The following is a 27,077-nucleotide window of genomic DNA, read 5'->3' as shown; positions in this document are numbered from 1 at the left end:
CAGCTGCCAGCAAATATAAAGCAGGCAGAAAAACGTGAAGAGGTGAGACTGGTCTAGCCTCCCAGCCTACATCTTTCTTCAGTGCTGGATGCTTCCTGCCCTCAAACATCGGACTCCAAGTTCTTCAGTTTTGAGACTCAGACTGACTGTCCTTGCTCCTCAAGCTTGCAGACAGCCTATTGTGGGACGTTGTGATCATGTAAGATAATAAACTCTCCTTTGTATATATCCTATTAGTTCTGTCCCTCTAGAGAACCCTGACTAATACAGATTTTGGTACCAGGAGTGATTCTAGAGGAACATAATATTAAGGATGAAGTTCTTTCATTGCTTTTAGGGTTTCTAGAGTTAGCTGCTTAATATGATTATAACCAAAAATGCTAAGGACTCTAATTCTAATAGTGTGAAGAACAGTGATAGCTCTTGACATGAACTGTTTAGAGAGTTATGCAAAATTAATGCATTTGCCACTCCTGATTCACAGCTCATGAGAGGTAAGGAGTTTAGTGACTCTGTACATCATACCTTTGACCATATGTGGAGAATCAAGGAACATAATGAAGCTGATTTGTTCCTCCTAAGTTCAGTGGGGAAAGTAATGAAAGAAAATGATGAATTCAGGGATTCTGTCTCCTGGCCTCAAAAGCAGATATTGAGCCTCAAATCTGCTAAGATTGCCCTCAGTGAGTCTCATCTCCTATAGAGAAAGAGCTGAAATTGTGGAAAAACAGACACAAGCTCATATTATACGAGTGGCTGACCTGCAGTGAAAGGTGCATGCACAGCCTCACCAGGTGTCTACTGTTAAAGTGAGGGCATTGACTGGAAAAGAATGGGACCCTGAAATTTGGAATGGGGATGTGTTGGAGGACCCTGATGAAGCTGGGGACGCTGAGTTTGTAAACTGTGATGAAACTTCTTTGCCAGAAGGAACAGCTTCCCCATTCCCAGTAGTGGCCACATCCCCGCCTCGACCCATGCTGCCATTAGTCTTTCCACCTTTGTCTGAGGAGATAAACCCTATGCTGCCTGAGGCAACAGCGATGGCCTCCCCTGAGGCAATTGCCAGGAAAAATAACGTTGATTCTCCTCAGGAGCTACCCCCAACACCCCTGTTTGCTTCTAGACCTATAACTAAAGTCCTAGCAGGCCCCTAGAGGTGAGGTTGAGAGTGTGACTCATGAGGAGGTGCGCTACATTCAAAAAGAACTGTTTGAGTTCTTTAATTTATATAAACAGCAATCTGGAGAACAGGCATGGGAATGAACATTAATGGTATGAGTTAATGGTGGAAGGAACAGAGTTGGATCAGGCTCAATTTATTGATCTGGGCCCACTAAGTAGGAACTCTGCATTTAATGTTGCAGCTCTGGGAGCTAAAAAAATGTTCTAATAGTTTATTTGCTTGGTTAGCTGAAATATAGATTAAAAGATGGCACACTGTGAGCGAGCTAGAAATGCCTGATCTTCCTTGGCTTAATGTAGAGGAAGGGATCCAAAGGCTTAGGGAGATTGGGATGGTGGAGTGGATTAGTTACTTCAGACCTACTTATCCCAGCTGGGAGGGTCCAGAAGATATACCCTTGACCAATGCCTTGCAAAATAGATGTGTGAGGGCAGCACCTGCATCTTTGAAGAGCCCTATAATTGCTCTTCTTTATATGTCAGATCTAACAGTGAGAACCACAGTCACTCAACTATAAAATTTAAGTACAATGGGAATAATGGGATCCCAAGGTGGCAGGGGCCAAGTGGCAGCACTCAACCATCAAAGGCAAAGTGGATGTAGCTATTGTAATGGACAGTAGAGACAAAGCAGCAATCAGAATAATCTGACTTGTGTAGAGCTCTGGCATTGGCTAATTAATCATGGTGTTCCTAGAAGTGAAATTGATAGGAAGCCTACTGCATTCCTACTTAATTCATACAAGCAGAAAACTTCTAGGTTGAATGGACAAAAGGCTAATTTGAATTATAAAAACGGAGAATCATGGCCCCTCAATCAATTTCCAGACTTGAGCCAGTTTACAGACCCAGTACTCCTTGAATGAAGGGGAGGCTGGGTCCCCTTGAGGTTAGGACCCCACTACATTATGGACAGTTTATGCAGTGAATCTTTCTCCCATCCTTCCCTAAGGAGACCTCCAACCTTTTACCAGGGTAGCTGTGCATTGGAGAAAGGGCAATAATCAGACATTTTGGGGACTACTTGACACTGGCTCTGAGCTGATGTTGATTCCAGGGGACCCAAAATGTCATTGTGGTCCTCCAGTTAAAGTAGGGACTTATAGAGGTCAGATAATTAATCGAGTTTTATCTCAGGTCCAACGTATAGTGGGTCCAGTGGGTCCCCAGACTCATCCTGTGGTCATTTCCCCAGTGCCAGAATGCACAATTGGTATAGACATACTTATTAGCTGGCAGAACCCCCACATTGGCTCCCTGCCTGGTAGGGTGAGGGCTATTATGGTGGGAAAAGCCAAATAGAATCCATTAGAGCTGGCTCTACCTAGAAAAATAGTAAATCAAGACAATATCACATCCCTGGAGGGATTGCAGAGATTAGTGCCACCATCAAGGGCTTGAAAGATGCAGGGGTGGTGATTCCCACCACATCCCCATTCAACTCTCCCATTTGGTCTGTGTAGAAGACAGACGGATCTTGAAGAATGACAGTGGATTATCATAAGCTTAACCAAGTGGTCACTCCAAATGCATCTGCTGTACCAGATGTGGTTTCATTGCTTGACCAAATTAACACATTTCCTGGTACCTGGTATGCAACCACTGACTTGGCAAATGCCTTTTTCTCCATTCCTGTCCATAAGGCTCACCAGAAGCAATTTGCTTTCAGCTGGCAAGACCAGCAATATACATTTACTGTCCTACTTCAGGGGTATATCAACTCTCTGGCTTTGTGTCATAATCTTATTCGGAGCAACCTTGATTGCTTTTTGCTTCTGCAAGATATCACACTGGTCCATTACACTGATGACATTATGCTGATTGGATCCAGTGAGCAAGAAGTAGCAAACACACTGGACTTATTGGTGAGACATTTGTGTGTCAGAGGATGGGAAATAAGTCCGACTAAAATTCAGGGACCTTCTACCTTAGTAAAATTTCTAGGGGTCCAGTGGTGTGGGGCCTGTAGAGATATTCTTTCTAAGGTAAAGGATAAGTTGCTGCATTTGGCCCCTCCTACAACCAAGAAAGAGGCACAACGCCTAGTGGGTCTATTTGGATTTTGGAGGCAACACATTCCTCATTTGGGTGGGCTACTCCAGCCCCTTTATCTAGTGATTCAAAAGGCTGCCATTTTTGAGTGGAATCCAGAACCGGAGAAGGTTCTGCAAAAGGTCCAGGCTGCTGTGCAAGCTGCTCTTCCACTTGGGCCATATGACCCAACAGATCCAATCATGCTTGAGGTGTTAGTGGCAGATAGAGATGCTGTTTGGAGCCTTTGGCAGGCCCTCATAGGTGAATCACAGCAGAGGCCTGTAGGATTTTGGAGCATGGCCCTGCCATCTTCTGCAGATAACTACTCTCCTTTTGAGAGACAGCTCTTTGCCTGTTCCTGGGCCTTGGTGGAAACTGAATGTTTGACTATGGGTCATCAAGTCACCATGCAACCTGAATTGCCTATCATGAACTGGATGCTTTCTGACCCATCTAGCCATAAAGTGGTTCAGGCACAGCAGCATTGTATCATCAAATGGAAGTGGTATATACATGATTGAGCTCGAGCAGGTCCTGAAGGCATAAGTAAGTTACGTGAGAAAGTGGCTCAAATGCCCATGGTCTCCACTCCTGCCACCCTGCCTTCTCTTCCCCAGCCTACACCAATGGCATCATGGGCAGTTCCCTATGATCAGTTAACGGAGGGAGAGAAGACTAGGGCCTGGTTCACAGATGGTTGTGCATGATATGCAGGCACCACCTGAGAGTGGACAGCTACAGCACTGCAGCCCCTTTCTAGGACATCACTGGGGGACAGCAGTGGAAGGAAATCTTCCCAGTAGGTAGAACTTTGAGCAGTGTACCTGGTTGTGCACTTTTCATGGAAGGAGAAATGGCCAGATGTGTGATTACATACTGATTCATAGGCTGTAGCCAATCATTTGGCTGGATGGTCAAGGACTTGGAAGAAGGATGATTGGAAAATTGGTGACAAAGAAATGTGGGGAAGACGTATGTGGATGGATCTCTCTGGTCAAAAACTGTGAAGATATTTGTACCCCATGTGAGTGCTGACCAATGGGTGACCTCAGCAGAGGAGGATTTTAATAATCAAGTGGATAGGATGACCCATTCTGTGGACACCACACAGCCTCTTTCCCCGGCCACCCCTGTCATTGCCCAATGGGCCCATGAACAAAGTGGCCATGGTGGCAGGGTTGGAGGTTATGCATAAACTCAGCAACATGGACTTCCACTCACCAAGGCTGACCTGGCTATAGCCATTGCTGAGTGCCCAATTTACCAGCAGCAGAGACCAACACTGAGTTCTTGGTATGGCACCATTCCTTGGGGTGATCAGCCAGCTACCTGGTGGCAGGTATTATATTGGACCTCTTCCATCATGGGAAGGGCACAGGTTTGTCCTCACTGGAATAGACATTTACTCCAGATACAAGTTTGCCTATCCTGCATGCAATGCTTCCGCCAAGACTACCATCTGTGGATTCACGGAATGCCTTTTCCACCATCATGATATTCCACACAGCATTGCCCCTGACCAAGGCACTCACTTTATGGCTAAATAAGTGTGGCAGTGGGCTCACGCTCATGGAATTCACTGGTCTTACCATGTTCTCTATCATCCTGAAGCAGCTGGATTGATAGAATGGTGGAACGGCCTTTTGAAGTCACAATTACGATACCAACTAGGTGACAATACTTTGCAGGACTGTGGCAAAGTTCTCCAGAAGGCTGTGTATGCTCTGAATCAGCATCCAATATATAGTACTCTTTCTCACATGGCCGAGATTCATGGGTCTAGGAATCAAGCGGTGGAAGTGGGAGTGGCACCACTCACCATCACCCCTAGTGATCCACTAGCGAAATTTTTGCTTCCTGTTCCCGTGACATTACATTCTGCTGATTTAGAGGTCTTAATTCCAGAGGGAGGAATGCTGCCATCAGGAGACACAACAATGATTCCATTAAACTGGAAGTTAAGATTGCCACCTGGACACTTTGGGCTCCTCCTACCTTTAAGTCAACAGGCTAAGAAGGGAGTTACAGTGTTGGCTGGAGTGATTTCATCAAGATGAAATCAGTCTACTGCACCATTAAGGTGTCTCTTAGTATTACCATGCCCTGCAATTAAGGTCAATGGGAAACTATAACAGCCCAATCCAGGCAGGACTACAAATGGTCCAGACCCCTCAGGAATGAAGGTTTGAGTCACTTCACCAGGAAAAAAAACCCACGACCTGCTGAGGTGTTTGCTGAAGGCAAAAGAAATACAGAATGGGCAGTAGAAGAAGGTAATCATCAATACCAGCTATGACCATGTGAACAGCTGCAGAAACGAGGATTGTAAATGTCATGAGTATTTCTTCCTTTTGTTAAAAACGTTTGTGCGTGTATATACTTGTACTAAGATAATATCTTCATTTTATTTCCTTTTCCTTTATCATGGAGCATAAGATTTATTGACCTCATATCAGCATTTAAGTATTGTTAACTTCATGTAATAGTATTTGGTTTGGGATTGGTGTGTGTCTGGTTGTAGGAAGGAGAGTTGTATTATGTTAGGTGTAATTATGACCTTATTATTGTCTTTATTTGAAGACTATGTGTGATCTCAGGAGATGTATATGGGTTCAAGTTGGCAAGGGGTGGATTTGTGATGGTAGATACTGAGTGTCAACCTGATTGGATTGAAGGATGCAAAGTATTGTTCCTGGGTGTGCCTGTGAGGGTGCTACCAAAAGAGATTAACATTTGAGTCAGTGGGCTGGGGAAGGCAGAACCACCCTTAATCTGGTGGGCACCATATAATCAGCTGCCAGTGAATATAAAGCAGGAAGAAAAACATGAAAAGGTAAGACTGGCCTAGCCTCCCAGACTACATCTTTCTCCTGTGCTGCATGCTTCCTGCCCTCAAACATCGGACTCCAAGTTCTTCAGTTTTGAGACTCAGACTGGCTCTCTTTTCTCCTCAAGCTTGCAGACAGCCTATTGTGGGACCTTGTGATCATGTAAGTTAATACTTAATAAACTCCCCTTTATATATATCTATCCTATTAGTTCTGTCCCTCTAGGGAACCCTGAGTAATACATAGTACGTTGCTGAAGGAAGAAATCTAAACTCTCCTCTTTAGTTTTTACAAAACAGGAACATTTAGCTTGTGTTCAACAGTTTAAATATTCTTCAAATTGCAGCCTGTATGAGTTTCCTGTGGCTGCTATAACAGATTATCAAAAATTGGTTGGCTTAAAAACCAATGAAAATGTATTCAATCACAGTTTTGGAGGCCAGAAGTCTGGAATCAGTGTCAGTGGGCCAAAATTGCTTTTCAAGTCTCATTGTGTTCCATCTTCTCATTGTTGTCTTGTGTGTGTGTGTGTGTGTGTGTGTGTGTGTGTGTGTGTAGTATCTCTCTACCTCCATTTTATAAAGACACATGAGGTGGCATTTAAGGACCTTCAGATAATCTAGGATAACTTTCCTATCTCAAGATCCTTAACATAATCACATCTGCAAAGAGTCTTTTTCCAAATAAGACAACATTTACAGGTTCCAGAGATTAGGATTTAGTATCTGTTGGTTGGAGGTGGTGGAATTTTTTAGCCTATCATACAAATTGCGAAACAAACTAGTTGATTGCTTCATGGTACTTCCAGCATAAGAATTCTGTAATTCAAAGATTGTGACCTTTGGCAATTTGCTTCACCCTTCCCCGAGTATTGGTTTTCTCATTTACAAAATGAATCTAATAGTGGTAGTTAGGCCATAAGATTGTTATGAAGATTACATGATTTAATGCTACTGAAATATTTAGAAGAGGGGCAGGTATATAATAAGTTCTCAATGAGAGTCAGCAATCCTTACTTGTTGGTGCAGTTTGTGTTGATATTATCATTCTTATAAAAGCAGGATTATGTGAGAAGATAATTGGGTACTTGCTTGGTGGCCTGTGATATAATCGGTATTTCCTTACTGTTACTTTGTTTTGATACATTTAATCAAGGTTGGTCACAAAAGTGATTAAAGTACTGACTTGGTGTCTAAAGAATGTGTTTCATCTGCTTTGTGGATTTTATTTAACTTTGTCTACAACATGGGCAGACTAAGCCAACTCCCAAATTGAGTAGGCAACTTTGAAACCAAGTCTTACAAAAGATTCCCTTAAGAATGATAGCCTTAGGAGTAGCAGAGATATGCTGTTCCCTCAGAGAAGAAATTACATTCTACTCTAAAATTGTATAATTCACTTTTTCAACTTTTTATGAATATAAGTAAAAGCTCAAACTTTTATATTGTAACAGAAGTCCTTTCCTGCTGACTTGAATGCTGTACCTAACATAACTTTTGTTGAGTCCATCCCTGGTTAAGATTGCCTTTCTACCTCTAAAACTTTAAATTACCCCTTTCTTCTCATTACTATTGTAGTATAATTCCTTCACATTTGTTAATAGCAACACAACATATTGCCTACAAAACCTTTTCCAGCCCAAAGTTTTACTGAGTTTTAACATGCTATGTTCTAACATGTATTTTAAGTGTAGTCATTTTAAAGAACGCACTATTGTGCTTGACATACTAATTGACAAGGTATGTAACTTCATCCAGGGGCTATATGTTAAGCCAATAACACAGTCATTGATGGGTGAGACTGAAAATATTATTAATGGGTTTTTCACCATTAGTATGATACAATTAAAAAAATAAAATTTCAAATAGCAATGTCAAGCACGTACCAATAGAAACAGTATTTCCAGGCTGGGCATGATGGATTATGCCTATAATCCCTTGACCTTGGGAGGCAGAGGTGGGAAGATCTCTTGAGCCCAGGAGTTTGAGACCAGCAAGACCCCATCTCTACAAAAAATAAAATAATTTGCTAGGCATGGTGGTATGCTTCAGTAATCCTAGCTACTCAGGAGGCTGAGGCAGGAGGATTGCTTGAGTCCGGAGTTTGAGGCTGCAATGAGCTATGATTGTGCCACTGCACTGCACTGAAGCCTGGGCAATGAAGCAAGACCCTGTCTCAAAAAAAAAAAAAAAGAAACAAAGAAATAATACTTCCATTTTTCCTCTGTACATTTCACCAATAAATAACCATATATAGTTCAAGTAGAATGGCAATCTGTAGACCTTTTGCTATTTAAAATTAGCAAATAATTAAACCATATGAAATTGCTGTTTTTGTAGGTTAAGAAAAGGTTGAATGTGGTAGTTCATATGGCACAAGATAAACAAACAGTATCCCTGTGAAGAGGTTCAGTTTTTCAGAGCTATTAAATGAAAGTTGCTAACTAAAACATTCAAGAATATAGGAAATTTTTTGCATTTTCAAGTTACTTATATTTCTCCCAATAAATATAAACTGAGTCTTGCTTCCTGTCCTCTAATGTCAATGATTATGGGAACCAACATTATTAAAAGAAGGAAAATAAGCAAAATAAATTCTTAGTGGGGAAGGCTAGGTAGATAGAAAACAATGAAAAATGCAGATTGTTACAAACTTTGTAATCATTTCTGTTTGACAGTGTTTATCTCTTTAAATGTTTATGTTCTTACTCATTTTTATTTCATTTTTATGTGTCTCATAACGTTGGCTATCACTCAATGTTTAGCTCTTTGGTGTCTGATCATAGAAAGCAGATTGCCCTGGCATTTTTATGTATTGTAGGAAAAGAAAGTCATTTGCATGTATTGAGATTTATTATTTGAATATTTTTTTCAATATAGCAAAGCACACCTACAAAATTTAATGTACATGCATATATGCAAGTGTGCTATCCTTGTAGAGCATCAGGTAAAATTTTATACCTCTGTTGGAGAGAGTGCAGAGAATCAAATAGTTGCACACACTTCTCCCCTCCCACCTTCCTCCTCTCTCAGTAATCGGTGATATGGGGAAGGGTATTACATTTTCCATAAAAACCTCCAAAACATCCATTCATCACTTTCTGGGCTTGGGATTGTTCTGGAATGGTAAATAGTTGAGAAGATGACAGATCACTGATGAAAGAGATTATTACTTGTAGGACAAGGTCAATGACTCAGGAAGGGGAATGACTTTAGAGAGTAAGGTGCACAGACCTATTATGAGTTGCACTAAGAAGTTTATAGTCATACAGTATTTGTTTTTATGGTAAATTGCTTGTTTTTTGTATGAATGAAGTTTCATTATGAGAAACTTCTCATTAAGAAACACATTAGTTTGGTATTGATTACTTCCATGAATTCTTATCATCTGCTTCTGTTTTATCACAGTTGTCAGATTCTTATGACCTGGATGGCAATTTCTTGTCATACCTTGTAGTACATTGCATTTTGGGATAGATGTAAATGAATAAACTGAGACCACCTCATAATTTAGAAAGCAATCTTACTCTGAGTCAGCATGTGTACTGCATACCATTAAAAATGAATGTGAAAAAAAGAAAATGACTGTGGTTCAATAATTTATGAAAATGTTATGGTGTTTTTATCTGTCTCTACCTTTTTAAAAACACCTATCACTGTAGCATGTAGGTACTCAGACAAAACATTGGTTTCTAGCTTAGAAATGATGGAGAAAAATTTCTATTTCCCATGTATTTCTTAGTAGCTTGACAGATGATTGTCAAAGAGAGAGCAAAAAGGTAGATATAAGAGAAAAAAATCAATTAGCTAGGTAATTTATATGATGCTTTCTGTAGACAATAATACCATTGTAGATGTTCTGGGAAGACCAAAAACTTCACTGGAACATCCTTCAAATTACATAGGAAGCAAGAAGTGAGTAGGGGTTATAAAGATGGACACAAGATTGGTTAGGAGCTTATGCTGAGTAGTTCCTTATACACATCATTCTACTTTTGCATATGTTTGAAATTTTTCCATGATAAAAAGTTTTTTTAAAAAATCTCAGGATTTAACTGTTTCCCAGCAGGAACTTCTTATACTCTGAATATGGAAATAAGAATGTTCATTTTACCCATATACAACAGACTCTGTATTTCATAAATACTTCCTATATTCGTGAAATCTTGATGTCTACCTCTTTCTTGAGATGGCCTATACAATTCTACTACCAGTAAACATCCTCAAAGTCTCTAGCCGTGCCTCCTATGCACTGTTCAGGTGACTTGTCATGAGAGGACAGAGGTAAGAAGCACCACAAATAAAGAAGCAAGAGTAATTTCCTGAGGTTTAGACTGAGGAGAATTGGAAGAATGGAAATGTAGATTAAAGTCATTTTTAGTTATAAGCCCATTCCCCCCAACAAGCAGCATTAATATTAGTTATTATATTACCACTAATATTCATACTAAGATTAATTCCAAAGGCTCTAATATTATCTAGTCACTAATTTGGAATGTCAGCATGTTTTATGAAAATGTCTTGGTGAGGTACCTGGCCAACCCCAAAATGAAAGGAATGGCTCTAAATTATATAAGTGTGGCTGTGGAGAACTAAAATTTAATTGGTTGTTGCTATCTTCACCACTAATGTATTCTTTAACTATAAATGAACAGCATTGCCAAGAACTGCTTCCTAGTTCCCATGCTCTGTAACACCTAGATGCTAAGACTCATTGAGCTTATATGCACTAACTTTCTGTTAATTGAAAAGGAGACAAAGGATGTACCCAGGTCCCTGTTCCTTGCTGATACTGATAGGGACTGTCAAAAACAATGATTGCATGGTGGCGGGCGCCTGTAGTCCCAGCTGCTCAGAAGGCTGAGGCAGGAGAATGGCGTGAACACGGGAGGCTGAGCTTTCAGTGAGCCAAGATCGCGCCACTGCACTCCAGCCTGGGCGACAGAGCGAGACTCCCTCTCAAAAAACAAAAACAAAACAACAACAAAACACACACACACACACACACACACAAAACAAGATTGTAACAAACTTCTTTCATTTTGTTGATCTCTATCAACTTTATGCTTATCAAGAGAAGGTTATCCATTCCTAATTATGTTCTAAGGTCAAAAAATACCACGTAAGTTCCTCTCATAGTGATTTATAATAAAATGTTACAAACACGATGTATACAAAACAATCGTTTTAAACTTGTTCCATTATCAAATACCACGTGAATGAATTTCATTTTGTAATACTGTATTTAGCTGGACCTGTGCATTTTCTTCATTAACTCTTTATTGACTCTGGCTTCACACAGATTTGGGTAATTCTTTCTCTATACTCTACTGTACGATTCAGTTCTATTATAGCACGTATTATAGCATGTAAGGAAGCATCGTGTTGCCTTCTTTAGTTTATATGTCTGTCTCCTCCTACTGGTCTCTAAACATTTTTGAGACTCAGGATCATTTTCAATGCCCAGCGCAATGACTAACTTTGTAGCTTTCGACAAATGTTTGTTGTAAGTGAATGGATAACTCAACCAAAAAAAAAAAAAAAAAAATGACTTACAGTTGTCAATCCTTTGAGTGATTTTGAGTAGATTTTCTAATGTAAGCCGGTGTCTCTTTGGCTTTTTCCTATTCCTTTTCTCACATATCCCATGTCTTTATGCTGGGGCTACAGATAGAAAACGGAAATATTTTGCCTACTGACTTTCAATTTCATATCCTGTCATTGAACTAATTGAACTCTACTTTTCTAATATTTAGCATCTATTGCAATAAGGCAATCAAATGCTATTTATTATTGCACTGCCCTCAAATTCCTTATGACATCCATTCCTCTAAATCCAGCCCTACCTTCCACCTTTCTGCTTCACCATTTGCCTTTTCCAACCACTGGTACCCTCTAATGCCTAGAAGAGAGAGTCTGTTGTATAAAAAGACAATCTTTTGAGATCCATAGTTTTCAGGTCCCAGGACAGTAGGGAAACATTTCTTTGTAGGATGATTTAAATGATCTCTTAAAGAGCATGCAAAGTAGTACCCAAAGTATTGGCAGACATTGCATTTTTTTCTTTTTTCTTTTTGAGACAGAGTCTCACTCTGTGGCCCGGGCTGGAGTGCAGTGGCCCAATCTCGGCTCACTGCAACCTCTGCCTCCTGGATTCAAGCGATTCTCGTGCCTCAGCCTCCTGAGTAGCTGAGGTTACAGGCATGCACCACCACGCCATGCTAATTTTTGTATTTTAAGTACAGATGGGGTTTCATCATGTTGGCCAGGCTGGTCTCGAACTCCTGGCCTCAAGCGATCCACCCACCTTGGCCTCCCAAAGTGCTGGGATTAGAGGCATGACCCACCTTGCCAGGCCCAAACACTGCATTTTGTTGAGGCTTTACTTTGATAAGCACATTGTCCATTAAAATGTCATTGATTTTTCTCCTATGTTTTTAAAAGTTTTTCTACTACTTTCTGGTCCAGGAAACTTAGAGAGCATTTGTTTTCCAGGGTCAGGAATATTTGGCCAGCTTTTATTTCTATTCTCCCTTGAATCTTGGAAAATAAAGGGAATGTTATGTGGTAATTTAGAGGTAAGGAACATACCTCTCTCGAGGGCTCCGCATCAGGTTCAGTTTAGGGTTGAGTTTAAGATTCAGGTTGATAATTATTATTCTTTAGGCAAAGAACCCACCCATAAAGTTCCTGGTTACAGATAATTTTTTCTATTTTCTACTACATCCAAAGTTTCCATCAAGTTAAGTAGAAAGGGTTGGTAATTCAAACTAAAAATAATATGTGGCCTGCCTGCCAGGATCTGTTTTTTTTTTGTTTGTTTGTTTATGTGTGTGTGTGTCTTTGTTTTTGTTTGTTTGTTTGTTTGTTTTTACAAAGAAGGTCTTATTAGAAGGCATCTATTGACTTAGGCAGGTCTGAAAAAACTTGTCAAGATTTTTTTTATATTGAATATTTTTAGAATACAGCTAAGTTTCTTATAAACTTGAATATATTACCCATCAACATGGCATAAATATGAGAAAACATTTTAACCTCCATTTTGCAGGTAGAAAAATAAAATCAGAGATTTGTTTCTGGTCATATGGGCCTGTATGGCCCCAGAAATAGATTCTGTGACTTATGATTGAAGTCCACCAGAACGTGACATCTCTTGATAAAAGGCAAATGCCAAACTGCTGAGTGAGTTGGTATTATTTAACATTTATCAGAAAGCAATAGAGATTTTTGCTTTGAGGAGTTTGAGGTCTTAGATTTGTGTATCATTTAGCTTATTACTGATACAAAAATCATAAAATGTCTTGGTTTTATTTTGGGAAGGCAGACATAGAATCTTTAAAACATGACAGAAAATTCCCCTGACATAGTAAAGCATGACTATTTAGAAATTTGTTTGTACATCTGTTTTGAAAATAATCATTTAGCTAAGTGGTCACATCTTGATAAAAGACTCCCAGTGTCCATCTAATAAATGAGACTGGATGTAAAAATAGATTCAAATTTCATGCCTTATATTTTGTCCTTGGAAGACACCCTAATGCTTTCCTGTCTACCACCTCTTAGAAAAGCATAAGGATTCACTTAATCTGACAAAAAAATTAGTCTTCAAAATTGAAATGGAAACAGAACAATAATTTATAAATTATTGTGTTCCACCAGTGGCTCTGTTGTGTTGTTTATGTAATGTTATGTAGTAACTTATCCTGAACCATTATTTTAAGAGTACCACGAGCTTAAAAAGGTTTTGAGAGATTATTTTATTAGCCTTCTTCCCTACCTTGTGAGTCCACTGATAACATTTTCATAACCTCCCTTGGTAACACACTCATTATACAATCATCCTCATTGCAGGTATTTTATCCTCTTACCAAACAGAAATTTTTCATGCTACAGTTCATTCTATTAGCTTCCTCATTTCCACTGAGGTTAGAATAGAATATCTAGTTTATTTTCTTTGAGCCTTACTTAGTGTACTGATTCTTGAGGGAGGAGGTGTGGCATCCTTTGCTCTCATTGGGAACAAACTACACCATTACCTCTGAAATGGCATGAGTCAGCATGTTTCTTAGTATATTTTGTCATGCTTGGTGTTCACATTTTCAGCATATGAGGGAGGTGATGGATAAGTGACTTTTTAAAAAAGCTGCTGTAAAGCCATTTATAAAGAATGACCTATTTTATTTTAAAACTTAATATCATCCGGTGGTTTCCTACGAGCCGAGGAATGAAACAAAGTAAAGGAAATGTTGTTCCAGAGATGATGACTTTTTTTGACCATTTTCCTTTGTTTCTTTTGGTCTACTGCATTGGGTCAAGTATTTAGGGAGAAAGAAGAGATTGAGTCACAGTTTCAGAAAAGAAAGGGTGAGTTCAATTTCCTCATTTTCAGCTTTTTATTTATTTATTTATTTATTTTTGGTCATGAATGAATTCACCATGTATAACTTTACAAAGTCTTCTTCTCAATTCCCCTACCACCCCTCTTCCCACAGCATCCCAAACTCTGGGTGTCTCTAGAGGCTGATAAACTGTTCTCAAAACCAAATAAGAGTCAAGGCACCTGGAGAGGTTTGGGCAGTGGGGAGAGGGGATTGGCTATCAATGTGGATCCAGACTAGGCCAATCCTAAGTGAAGTATATTGTTGTCTCCTAACAGCTGTTCTGTGGCCTCTGTGAAATGCGGTGGTGGCTTTCATCCAGATACCGGACAGCTGTTGCCTCACAAAGAGCATCGCCACAATTAGCATTAACTGGCTCTTTGTTGGTGGCCTCCACTGGCAACTCATTGAATCTTTTCTTTCCCTGCCTATCTCCTACCATCTTTATCTCCCTTTTTCTCTTCATTTTTGCTTTCCCTCTCCTTTTTATTTCCTTTGTCTTTTTCTCCCCCTCTGTCTTACCAGTAGGTAGCCTGGAAAAAAAAGAGAAGCAACAGTTCCTGAGGGAAGAATGCATTAACAACTCGGATGGGTGCTGTCTGCCAGCACTGCAGAGGAACCTACGGAGAGGGCTGCTGGGAGAGAATGCTCATACCTCCCAAGGCGTCAGCCTGCCCTCCCGCCCCCAAGTTGCTTTGCTCAAGGTGTGTCAGAGTTTACTCTGGGATTGTGTATTTTATCCATTGAGCTTCTCCTTTCATCACAAGGCAGAGAACACGGCTGTGTTTGTGGAATGGATGGGCCCACAGGGAATTTTGAGTGATTCAGTAGTTGTGGTGTAAGCCGTTCGTCATAACTCCCTGTCAGGCAGAGTCACTGGAGGCAGTAGGTTATACAGTTTGTGATTCCTTGCTCTGATAAGAGCGGCGCTGTTTTAGGCGTTATGTATGGCAACCATATTCTCAAATCCAAAATCAGCATGCCTGCTGTTTCCAGACATTTTTGGATTTATAATGTGTTTATTTGACATGTTTTTAAGAAAGTAAAAATGAAATGCCATTTTTTAAATTATGCACTTGACAAATCACTGGAATTAGAAAGAATAAAATTCCACGAAACAAAGGCAGCTTGAAAGTCCATGGTATGAGTTGTTAACATGACAGAACTGTCTGGATGCTCTTCTGCTCTTTCAAATAAGAATAAGGAAATAGTAATGGCAACTGTTGTGCTTAAAATTTCCAAGTCTGCTTTCAGATTATCCAACTTTATTTTCTCAATCTCAATTTTAGAGTCAAGAAGAGGACTAAAGAAAGTCTTGTGACTCATATGCTTGTTATTTTCCAACCAGAAAGAGGCAACAGTAGGACATGATGCTCTTTTACTATGGGAATATAAAAAAGTTAAACAATTTTGCAAAGGTTTTTTCATAAAAAGCCCAAAGCATTTTGCCCTAGGCTGCTTCTCTTTGGAATTTAAAACCCGTGTGGAATATCGTATGGGGAAATGCAACCGACATGCCCCTCGTTGGTTTGCATTTAACTCATTACATGTTGATTGCTAAGAACACATACATGACCAAGAAGATAGCCAAGCCCTTTGAAAGAACATATGAAATCTAAACAAGGAGCCTGAGTCGGGACAGTCTTAAACAGATGTGAAGTCCTCACAGCCTTTGCCATTTTGAAGATTAAATTACTAGCAAACCACTTTCAACAAGGGTTTTGGTTCTCATAGTAATGACCAGGACCCATAACAGACATTAAAGAAAAAAAGTGAGGCTTATTTAGAGTTAGGGAAAATATCCCAACACCCGCTTGGACTCCCTAATTTTGGTAATCTGCTTTCTCTCATCTATATGATGGGAAAAGTCATACTCTGTCACCTTAGGATTATTCTGTTACTTAATGAGTATAAAATTACTTGAAAATCAATGTGGTAAATATTCTTAATAACTGGAATGAGCAATTGTGCACCATGCATAAAAAAAGAAATAGCTTTGGAGAAATGTAATTTCTTGGATGGACAGATTGTCTATCTGCTAGAGGAATGGCCCTCAGTTTTGTGATGTGTTTATCGTTCATTTAGAAAAATGATTGAAGAAATCTGAGAAATGACATAACCAGATTGGCTGTGTATCTTTTTGTTCTCCTATTTAAAAAAAAATTCCCTTCAAACACTTCTAACCTCAATAAATAAATAAATAAAAAGAAACAAAAGCCCCCAACAGAGTCCTAATTCTAACTTATAACCACTTAAAGTCTGGATATGCTTTGAACTTCACATTTAAAAGAAAGGTTTTTCTGATTTTCTATCAATCCCTCTCCTTAGCTTGCCATTTACAAACATACTTTCCTCCTTCAGAGCAAAAGCAAGTGAGAGAGAATTGGTTTAAAGCTGCTGAAGTCTCCACTGCAGGGGAGCACTGGTTTAATTCAATCAAGGTAGAATGAAGGTCTGAGAAGGGGAGAGATTCTAAGGCCTGGGCAATTGAGTGGAAGCAGCATTTCCTGAGTCTACACCTCCTTCTGCCATTGTTGGTGGGAACTATGGCAATATAGCTTTCACATCTCCACCAGTTAAAATACTGTGCTATCAACTCCCTGCCTTTGTTCTTTCTTTTTTCCCATAAGGACATTGAGTAGTTTGAGAAGATACATGCAGTAAATGTACATTGCATATATTAGTAATATTATTTTGCTAACATTGTATGCTAGTCATAGGGAAGGTGTAATTTTTCTATGTGGTTTATATTATTTTTCTAAGCTTTGAAGTCTTTTAACAATTTCGTCCATGAGATGCAAATTCAAAACTCATTAGGAGCCAAACTAATGAAAAAAATGAAAGAATTTGTAGGGAATGCTGAGGGTTGTGTCACAAGAGAGGGCATTGCACAAGGCCACCACGTTTTACAATTCCAGGGCACCCCCATTCACATCATATTGTATGTGAATGGTGCCCCCTAGTGTAGAGCAATGCAGAGGCCCTCTACATGCCCTGTTCATTCATTCATTCAGGACGTCCTCAATGAGCCAACTGTGCGCCAAGCATGGTTCTAGGTGTTGGGGAGGTAGCAGTGAACAAAGTGGACAAGAATCCCTGCTCTCACGGAACCTAAAGGCATTCTTTTTTGATTATTGTTTTTTTAAAGGCAAAAAAGCAACCTGCCAACCAAACAAAATGCATTAATATGCAGAATTCAGCTAACAGGACGACAAATTAATGACTCTTGTCTAGGCTTTTAAATTATTTCTGTGATCATGAAGGTTTTAGCCACATGGAAAAAATACGCAATACGCTAACCACAAGCTTGCACCTACTGCTTAGCTTATGCCTAAGCTCTGGCTACATAGAAAACTCAGCTATCTATTACCCAGTATCTAAAACTCAGTATCTATCACTGAGAAAACTCAGTGATCTATTAGGTAACACAGGATGAAAAAGTAGAATAAAGTGGGGGTCATGCCATTCTGCCAAAGCATTGTCTGCCTAAATACCTGTCCTAAAGACTCATGGGAGAGGCAAGCCAATGAACAATGGTCAATGTGGCACCTTGAACCAATTCAGTCGGCTCTTAACTTCCCATACATTTAATTAAAATTTTTTTCAAACAAAAAGGAAGATTCCTTAAAGTATCAGGTCTCTTAGGGGTTATGCTAACAGAAGCAGGTGAAACACCAAATTTAAAGAGCTTTCATTAATAATTTCTCAGCCTTATGGCTTCTTAATGCTATTCAATGGAAAGTTTTAATTTTATCTGCAAAATGAAGCTAAAAGAATGTCGCCTAGCTCCTTCCCTGTCTGGAGGAACTTGGATTTTTTTTTTTTTTTTCATTAGAAGCTTGGGTAAAACTAAAAAGAAACCTGTATTCAAGTTTCTGCAAGAAGCTTTAAAGAAATGCTGGGATGGTACTCAAATAGTTTACAAGTTTTCCACCTACAACTCATTTTGCATTTTCTTAAATAAGATAATGACTCAAAAAAATTTAAAGGACCTAGGTCACAGATCTTACAAAGGGTTGGAGTCATGGTATAAAGGTATAAAGATTGTATATAAATGTTCATATTTTCCAAGAAACAGAGCAAAGACCGCCTGTGATAACTCTTCCTTTTTTCTACCTGCCTTCCAGGATCCTTTCTTTCCAAAACCCCTCATAAATTAATGATAATGATAATCAGAAGAGAGAGTGTTGGCCATATCAATCTGCACATTATATTAAATTACTTTTCCCAAAGTTTGGAAGCATTTCCTGAAGGCTGTCAAGGGTATTAGTTTTTTTCTCTCTTTAAATCACAAAGCAAAATTCCACTGTCTCTCCCCAACCCCTTCTAAAAAAAAAAAGTTGTCGAGTTTTGCTTTTCTATTCACTGCAATCCTGGCCAAAGTAAAGCCCTCTTTCTCAATGACGTCAAGATCTTTACCAAGATTAGGCTTTCACTTCTCTATTGCAGCAATTAGCCAGGGAATGTATAAAAGGCGTCAGGGAGACTCACTGGGCTGCAGAGAGAGGCACTTTGCACCACAGACAGATAGCAAGAAGGGAAAGACAGAGAGTGAGAAAAAAGAGGAGTCAGTCGCTCCTGGGGAAGGGAGAGAGTGAGACTGGGAGAAAGAGAAGCACAGAAAGTGTGTGTAAAACGGAGTAAAGAAAGAAAAAAAAAAAACTACCCTTAAAGCACATTTAAAAAAAAAAAAAACTCTGGCAATTCAAGAAAGAAACAGGCTACGTTTAAAGAGCATAGAGACAATGAAAGGCTAAAGAAAATTTTAAAATCTCTGCCACAGTCTCATAGGTGCTTGGAAATGAAAGTAGAACTGCCTGTCTTTAACGGACTCTGACAGAGGTAACTGGATTAGGGACGAGTACGCCAGCTTTTTTTTTTTTTTTTTTTTTTTTTTTTTAACATCTTAAATCCTGAAAAAAAAAAAAAAAAAAAAAAAAAGGCAGCAGCTCCGAATTGAATGAATTGATGGGCACACTCCAACTGCTGGGCTGGAGAGACTGGACTTAGTCTTGCCATTTCTGCTTCTTTGAAAGAGGAGACAACTTGGGCTTCCTTTTAATTTAGTTTTTTTTCCCCTTCTCCCCCAACCCCCAACCTTCCCCCTTACCTCCCCCACCCCCTTTATCACCACCCCCCTTTTAAATAAGAGGGTGAAGGGGAACCAGAGCGCACAAGGGAACTGACTCAGGAGGCAGAGAAGATGGGCATCCTCAGCGTAGACTTGCTGATCACACTGCAAATTCTGCCAGTTTTTTTCTCCAACTGCCTCTTCCTGGCTCTCTATGACTCGGTCATTCTGCTCAAGCACGTGGTGCTGCTGTTGAGCCGCTCCAAGTCCACTCGCGGAGAGTGGCGGCGCATGCTGACCTCAGAGGGACTGCGCTGCGTCTGGAAGAGCTTCCTCCTCGATGCCTACAAACAGGTGAGCTGAGCTGAGAAGGGCTTCTCCCTAGGTCTACAGGGGCAGGGGCTCATATGCTGGGGACCAGAGGCCATTGGGAGCATTGGGGGGAGAGCTGTGAAGCCCTATTTGTGGGGTTGCCAAGTGAGCCTCTAAGTTTACTTTCCACACCTGTTGCACAGGTTAGCTTGGGAGGGTGACAGCTATTAAGCCATAATGACTCTGTGTGACCTAATAAGGAATCTTTCTACTAAGGGTTATTAATATCTTGCTGTGATTTGGGAGTAGAAGGCATTGTGCTGGTACGATAACTTGGGAAAAGTCAGAAAATGATGGAGAAGAGGAGACTGCTGCATTTATTCTGCTCTTGCCATAAACTGGAATTTTGATTTTTTGCTTGATGGGAGGCTGAGGTACACTGAGGAAGTATGTTCGAGGGGTGGGTACTGAAAAGCAAGAAATGAGAAATGCTACTCAGAACTCTCAGAGAGTTGACAAGATAAGAAAGTGGTCATAGAAATTGTGATTGGGCATCATAGCTGCTTGGTTTCTGGTAGAGGTAAGAGTTAATGAAAGCAAGCAGCTGTGTGCCACCTCCTCTACATTGATTCAAATTTGAACCCTTTGGAAGCGATTTTCAGGCAGTGATCCTGAGTTACTAGATATCAACTTGCGAAAGAAAAGTCTGAAAACTAGCTGTCAGAAATCCAGCATTTGTAAGGGAAGCCTCCTTTACTTTGTTTCTCAAAAATAAAATACGTTGCCCTAGAAAGAGATGATGGGTCTGTGATTCATTAAATCTCAGAGCTGTTATGAGCATTAGAGCAGTGGTCTCCCTTACCTGCTCAGGTAGTGCCCAGGGGCTGCTCTCTCAAAATCAGAGGTAGTGATCTTAGTTTCTAAGTGAAAAATACTGTGTTCCAGGCTTTTTGCTGGTGAGAGATGTTAGTAGAGCATTTTCAACTAAGATCTTCAGGGGCACAGAGGATGATTTTCGCCCTGGTCTTTTGTCAGTTTTCCCCCACCTGCTATGCCCATATGACTTCTAAAGGTCCCCTCCACCCCCTCAACCAGGCTTGAGAAGAATGAACTATTTTGGCAAAAGTAGTTATCAAAATAGACAATCTTGGTTTCCCTAAAAGTGTTGTGGGACCTTGCCCAAGATGCCAGAAAAAGCAACTGTACATCTGTATTTTAGAGGAATATAGAAGCCAGGTGTTCAGTGAAGTGGTGTGTTTTAGGCAGGCAGCACCTTAGAACCAGAGACGGGGAACTCGAAATAATAGAGACGCAAGGGAATGCATCCTCCATAAATAAACACTAGAAAACTAAAACCATGCGCCAAGAAAAGAGAAGAAGTAACTTGTAAAATTACAAAGAATTCAGGACAGGATTGTTCTTCTGAAAATCAGATGTTCAAGAAGAAAATATCTGTTGTGAACTAGGGAAATTTTACCACAATGCACGTCTTTATTATTGATAGTAACCCAAAGAGGGTTTGTGTTTATTGTTGTTAAAAATGTGAATAGTAAGAGCTCTTATTAGTAGATGGAAATTCTTTTATGAGAATATGAATTGGTGCTCAAAGTTCTAACAGTAAAAACTCATTTATATTGTGCATGTCAGTGAGGACGGGAGATCTAGAAAAGTAGATATTGAATTGATTATTTCATTTCCACAAAAGTATACATTGAATGGGAAGTTTTTAATGGTTTGTTTTAGTGGAAGGCAATTTGGAGGCAGGTGGAGGAGTACACAAGTATATCAGACATATTATTAATTAGGAAGTTCCCTCTTCAACATCATATTTTATACGTGTTAGCAGATACCATGGAAATATCAGTGATTTGATCTCAGTATATTAAACTCTTACTTTTTGGAAGGACAATTGCCTTTTGCCTATAAAGTAAAAAAAAAAAAACTTATTGGAAGAATTTTACTTATATACATATATTTCTTATATAAATGTCATGTTTCATTAAGAAAAACATGAAAAACAGTCATCTCTCATATAAACAATGGGGGCTGTAATGTTACCCACAAATATTAAGTGAGGTTGTTTCTCCCATTAAGCAGCTTATTGAACATAAAATGGAAAAGCAAACAAATACGTCTTCAATAAAGTTTATTGTTTTTTTCACCAATGTATAGTGTTCCATTATGTTGCAATATGTTGTTATTCCTATTCTAGGAAATTGGGAAGGATGAGTGATTTGTTTTTTCTTTTTGCATATGGTTTGTATATTCCTATTCTGTATTTCTTTGTCCCTGCCTACTGATTTGATTAGTGACCAAGTTCACGACTGATGTTATTATGTTTGCTTTTGATGATTTATGTAATAGCTACCATGTGCAGAAGCAACCCCAGGACCCACATATCCAGAAACAAGACTGGACTGGGTGTGTGATAAATGGAAACATTATGAACACAGCTGCAACTGAATGATGGTCTCTTTTCTGTCTTCAAGTATGGCAAGGGTGGTGGTTTCTGTGGTGGCATTTGAGGGTCACTCAGAATCTCTCAACCAGGTTGAATCACTTCTCTGAATGCTCTTGTCATTTGTGCCACTGTCTTTGGGTGTAGTCATTTCCAGAGACGTTGTAAGAGGTTCTGTTTGAGATGGCATCACACTATTTCATAACCCTGACTTGCATTATTTTGAGGCTACCCATCCCCAGAAGTGAAGTTTTCCAGGATGAGAGGGGTGTGTGCTCATGTGATACAACTACACATGTGATTTACTGTTATTAATTCTCCTTGTTGCTGCATGTCAGATGCCTGGAAAGATATGTAGAGAAAGTGGAGTAAAAGTATTATCCCTGTGTTTTGCCTCCACAAGGGGCAACACAGAAATAAAGAAAGAACAAAATATTTTCTTTTCTTTTTTTTTTAAATAAACCCTTTCTTAAAAGGTTGAAAGGGATTTGAATTAACTTTATGGAGAAGCCTTTAAAGATAATGTGAGTTTAGTAAGAGATGGATTCTGTGTACAATTTTGATTGAAAGGAAAGTCTATAGACACTGGTGAGAGACCCTGAGGTGAATAAAAGGTGTTTGTTATTTAAGTTTCTTTAGTCAGCGTCATTGCATCTGAACAGTATATCCTTGTGCTGGCGCTCAGAGACTAAAAACATGCAACCAATAAGCAAATTGCTCTGTCTGGGAGCCTGGCTCTTACCTAAATGAAGTGTAAAAGTAAACACACAGTATAGATGCTGACAGGCAGTTTAGCTTCTGCACGGTTAATATTGCAGAGGTACAGAAAACATATTCATTTGAACATATAATTTTGGTTTTGAAAGGGTCTCTTTAACATTCTCCTCCTCCTCTTCATTCACCTCAAGCCTTTGACACTAGTTTCCACAATGGAAAATGGCCCTTTTAAGAGAGAAACAGTCCCAAAAGAACACAAAGCAGGCCACAGCCAGAGCTTGTCCATCACTTGGATAAAACATTGGGGAATGATAGAGCTTAGAGCTACATTTTCAAGGTACAAATTAAAAAGAGAATAGCTAAAAGGGAATTGAGCTCAGAGGAAGGAGTACGTAGCCTATTCTTCAACTCTGATTTATTTGGCCAATCTGAATATAAATGGTTAAATCTCTTCTTAATGATAGTTTGGCCATGTTTCTAAGGACATTGATGTAGCCTGGTCATTATGTCAAAGAATTTGAAACTTCCTGATAGTTAATAAAGCCATTTTCAGGGCTTTGGATAGCAAGTAGTATGTGTGAAAATTCTGCTACCACACACCCACCCTTCATTTTTATAATTTGCTTTAGTTTCTGTTATGAGATTATGTGATATATTGTCCACAAGGCTTTCTCAGGCTGTGGAAAAGAAAAAGAAATAAAATCCCAAAACAAGAAACAAGGTTAGTAGTATATGCTGTATTTTCTGCTTCTACTTGATGAATGGTTCTTTTCTCCCCCTTGCCCTGCATTTCACAGTCCACATGCTAAAGCAGCATTTCCTTTTTCCCCATGCACTGAACACTGAACATCATCAAGGGAATCAAATTTTTATATATGCTATATGTTTATGTTCATGTTCATATTTATAAAGATTTCCATTCCAACATTTGAACTTGGCCCGGAGATGTCTTCTGTTGTAAAAATGCAAATCCTTTATTTACCTCCTTTGTTGGTGTTGTGTTGATGTTGCTTGCAAAAACATAAGAGAGGACCACTGTAATAGTGCAGATGAGAGAGATAAAAGTCAGCGATGACAATATCACATTTTACGTATGTCCTTTCTGATCCTTGCAAAATAAAGGGACCCTTTGGGAACATCGGAACTTCAAGACCAATTAGTGGAAATGATGCTTCTTGTGTTTGGGCATTAAATACTGGGCAGGGTTCTCTTTAGAGCGGCTAATGCTGGCAGGGAAAGAGGTACCGACCTAATTACTCTTCCGCAAGAGTAAAAAATGCCTTTTGAATGCCTCTTTGGCAAATATGTCTCATTAAGGACAAAAACCAAACACAAACCCTCTAAGAAGGAGAAATTAAGATGATAGGTAACTTGTGGCCAGACTTTCTGTGCCACTGTGGGAAATTAAAACAAAGTTTGGGAGTACCAGGGGATAACTTGTTTTTGTTGAGCTTCTTTCCTGCAGCCTAAATGTTATTATGGGACCAACTTTATTTTCTTCATCATTTTGGCTCTGTGTCAAGGAATGCTTTGCTCGTGGGGAGAGCAAAGAATCTTCCATCATCGAAGACAATGGTGATTCTCCCAGCCTGTCTCAGCAGGGTGCATAACCCAGCAAACCAAGAAGTTCTCCATTTGAAACTCTGGTCTATTAGGAATTTAATTTTTATGGTGACCAAATGGGGAGATGAGAATGAACAGTAATATCCTTTTAGAATATTTTCTTTTAGGTTAAAGGAAACTTCCATATCTAAAAAAAGTTTTTTTTCTTTATTTTAGCTAAATTGTCCTCCATCAGGTTTTAGCAAAGATGGACACATTTTATGACTAGTATATGAAGCTTATAAAAGCAGACTACTGGTCTACTCACATTTGGATTTATGGATGGTGGGTGTGTGTTTTTCCTTCTTAGTTTTATTAATAATATTAATTTTATCTATGCATTTTCTCTTGCCTAGGCACCTTCATGAATAAGCATATCCATTTATGACATTATAACATTCAGTAAGGGACCCTGGCTCCTCAACAAAATAAAAATAATAGGCCACATTTGTTTTGTGCACTGACCAGATGAGACTGTCAAGGACAGATCAATAACATTGAGTGCTGATTTTGGTAGTACTCTATGAGAGGGCCCCAGGATTCATATTTCTAAATTTATCTGCCTCAGTGAGCTTATCCGTCACCCAAATATGATTATGTTCATTGCAGGTCAGGGTTATCATTAAGTGTAAAATTCTTCACTGACCTAGAATTATAACAACTAGCATTCATTCAATAAAATAAATACTTCCCAGTCTAACCCTAATCCTAACAAAATGCTAAATCCCCCCCATAAAGAGCATTACGAATTTGGTAACTTTCCTAATTTTTTTATTTTAGACTGACAGTGTTGTACTTACTCTAAATTTCCCAAGGCAAATTAGTCTGTGTTTTGGAAAGAATTCTGCAGCTGAACTATACATTGTTTCTAAGAAGGAGAAGGTGCCTTAACTTTCCAAGAAAATTTACTGCAGGTAATAAGAGAGTCCCCTGTGACTAAAGCAACAGATTAGATTATTCAGTTGAATAATCAGACATAATGAAAGGATCAACAGGTCTGCTCGGATGAATCAGGGGGTTAGAGGCGCATTTGTCAAGGCCACATAATTGTTCATGGGTTTCAAAAATGATTCCAAAATGCAGATGAATGTTTTTACCTATCAAGAACCTACAAGTGTACAGGTTGCTTACTTAACAGGAAGTCCCTACAACGGACTAATCTGAATGCATTTAGGTCTTCTTATCACGGTACGTTGAGGCACACAGTACACATGATATTGTTAAAACACCCCTTCTAGAATCATTACTATTATTTCAAATGGGAAAGATCTAAAGAGAAGAGACTGCTACCCACTACCTAGATCTATAAAAAAAAAAGAAGTACAAAAAGAACTCACGGCTTAAAAGGTTAATAATACCTTCAACATATCTTTAAATTTGATGTATATTTTCATGCCTTAAAGACTAGGGTAGTTCATATGAAAGAATCCAGCTAAATGTGCTTATTAGATTTCTCCATCTAGTGTCATTTGCAAATTAATCAAGAAAGTTAGTATAAGTAAAATAATTTTCTCTGTGGTGGTGACTAAAAAACAAATGTACTTACTTAAATCACACCAGCAGCTTCCTTTCTGAGAAGGAAGATTATTACAGTAAGATTTCTCTTAGAACACTAATAATGCTTATTTCAAACCTTCCCTGCTAGGATTTTTCAGAAGGGAGAGAAAGAACTTTAATTCTTTCTCTACAGTTAAAATGAGTTATGCATTAACATTAGATAGAAGCTTCTGAATAAAAGCCCTTGAGTGGGTTATATCAGTTTGGATTGTTACATCTTTAACAATTCACTTCGAAGTGACTTCAATTAACAGTAGCATTATGTGTGGCTGTATGTATATGAGGGAAATAAGTCAACCCAGTTGGAAGTATATTGTAATATTAAGGATAGTATATAAAAATCAATTGTACTGTCCCTAAATTGTCCCTAATGTTATTGGCTTTGATTAAACCATTCTAAGGAAGATCCAATCGTATTAATTCAAACTGAAGTAATTGGCTCTTTTATTGTTGCCTGCTTTTTATGATCAATTTACAGATTCAAAGGCTGCAAACTTTCCTTCATTCTGTTCTCAACTATTTAAACCATGTGCAAAGGGAGCACATGAAACAATTTTTATCTCTACTTCTTCTGCCCCAATATTTTATAATTCAGAGGAGCTTGTTAACAAATTGTGGGGTAGAAAAGTACTTTTTAATGTGACTTCCTAGATAAAAAGAAGGAAACAAGCACACATGGAAAATGAGAAATTGACTTAAAGTAGAATTCTGGAGTAACCATTTTTGTTTTTTTGTCTGTTTTTATTTTTTTTTTAAATGGAAATTGTAAGATTGGAGTGGTAAGAACCACCTTGTAAGCAGTGGCAGTAGAAGCCTCCAGGGAGGATGCCATATTGAGGAGAGTGCAAAGCTTTGCTCAGGGCATTTAAAAAAACAAAAACAAACACAGAATTGCCCAAGAATGATGATGTTCTGTTTCACATGGTGGGGTAGCAT

The 27,077-nt window shown here is 39.0% G+C and overlaps 1 protein-coding gene and 1 long non-coding RNA gene across 7 annotated transcripts in view; one reads left to right on the top strand and one right to left on the bottom strand.

Moving 5' to 3' along the window:
- DIO2-AS1 (DIO2 antisense RNA 1) overlaps positions 1-19,681 on the bottom strand; it is a 244,049-nt gene extending 224,368 nt beyond the window's left edge. Inside the window, exons 1-2 of the long non-coding RNA NR_038355.1 lie at positions 19,612-19,681; positions 11,603-11,710 (exon numbers count right to left, since the gene is read on the bottom strand). This is a non-coding gene — a long non-coding RNA (DIO2 antisense RNA 1). The remainder of the gene's footprint in view (positions 1-11,602; positions 11,711-19,611) is intronic.
- The window catches only part of DIO2 (iodothyronine deiodinase 2), a 33,532-nt gene continuing 6,497 nt past the window's right edge, over positions 43-27,077 (top strand). For 2 of the 6 annotated variants that reach the window (NM_013989.5, NM_001366496.1), the window contains exon 1: positions 19,596-19,849. In NM_013989.5, the coding sequence (NP_054644.1) occupies positions 19,628-19,849 (222 nt within the window). In that variant the 5' untranslated portion in view covers positions 19,596-19,627. Of the gene's footprint in view, positions 200-14,949; positions 15,129-18,921; positions 19,267-19,574; positions 19,850-24,761; positions 24,870-25,364; positions 25,499-27,077 lie in introns of those variants that run through there. The other 4 variants (NM_000793.6, NR_158991.1, NM_001324462.2 and 1 more) reach the window with 4 other exon arrangements.

This window comes from Homo sapiens, chromosome 14, assembly GCF_000001405.40.
Source record: "Homo sapiens chromosome 14, GRCh38.p14 Primary Assembly".
Taxonomy (NCBI): Eukaryota; Metazoa; Chordata; class Mammalia; order Primates; family Hominidae; genus Homo; species Homo sapiens.
This window is presented reverse-complemented; position numbering and strand designations above follow the sequence as displayed.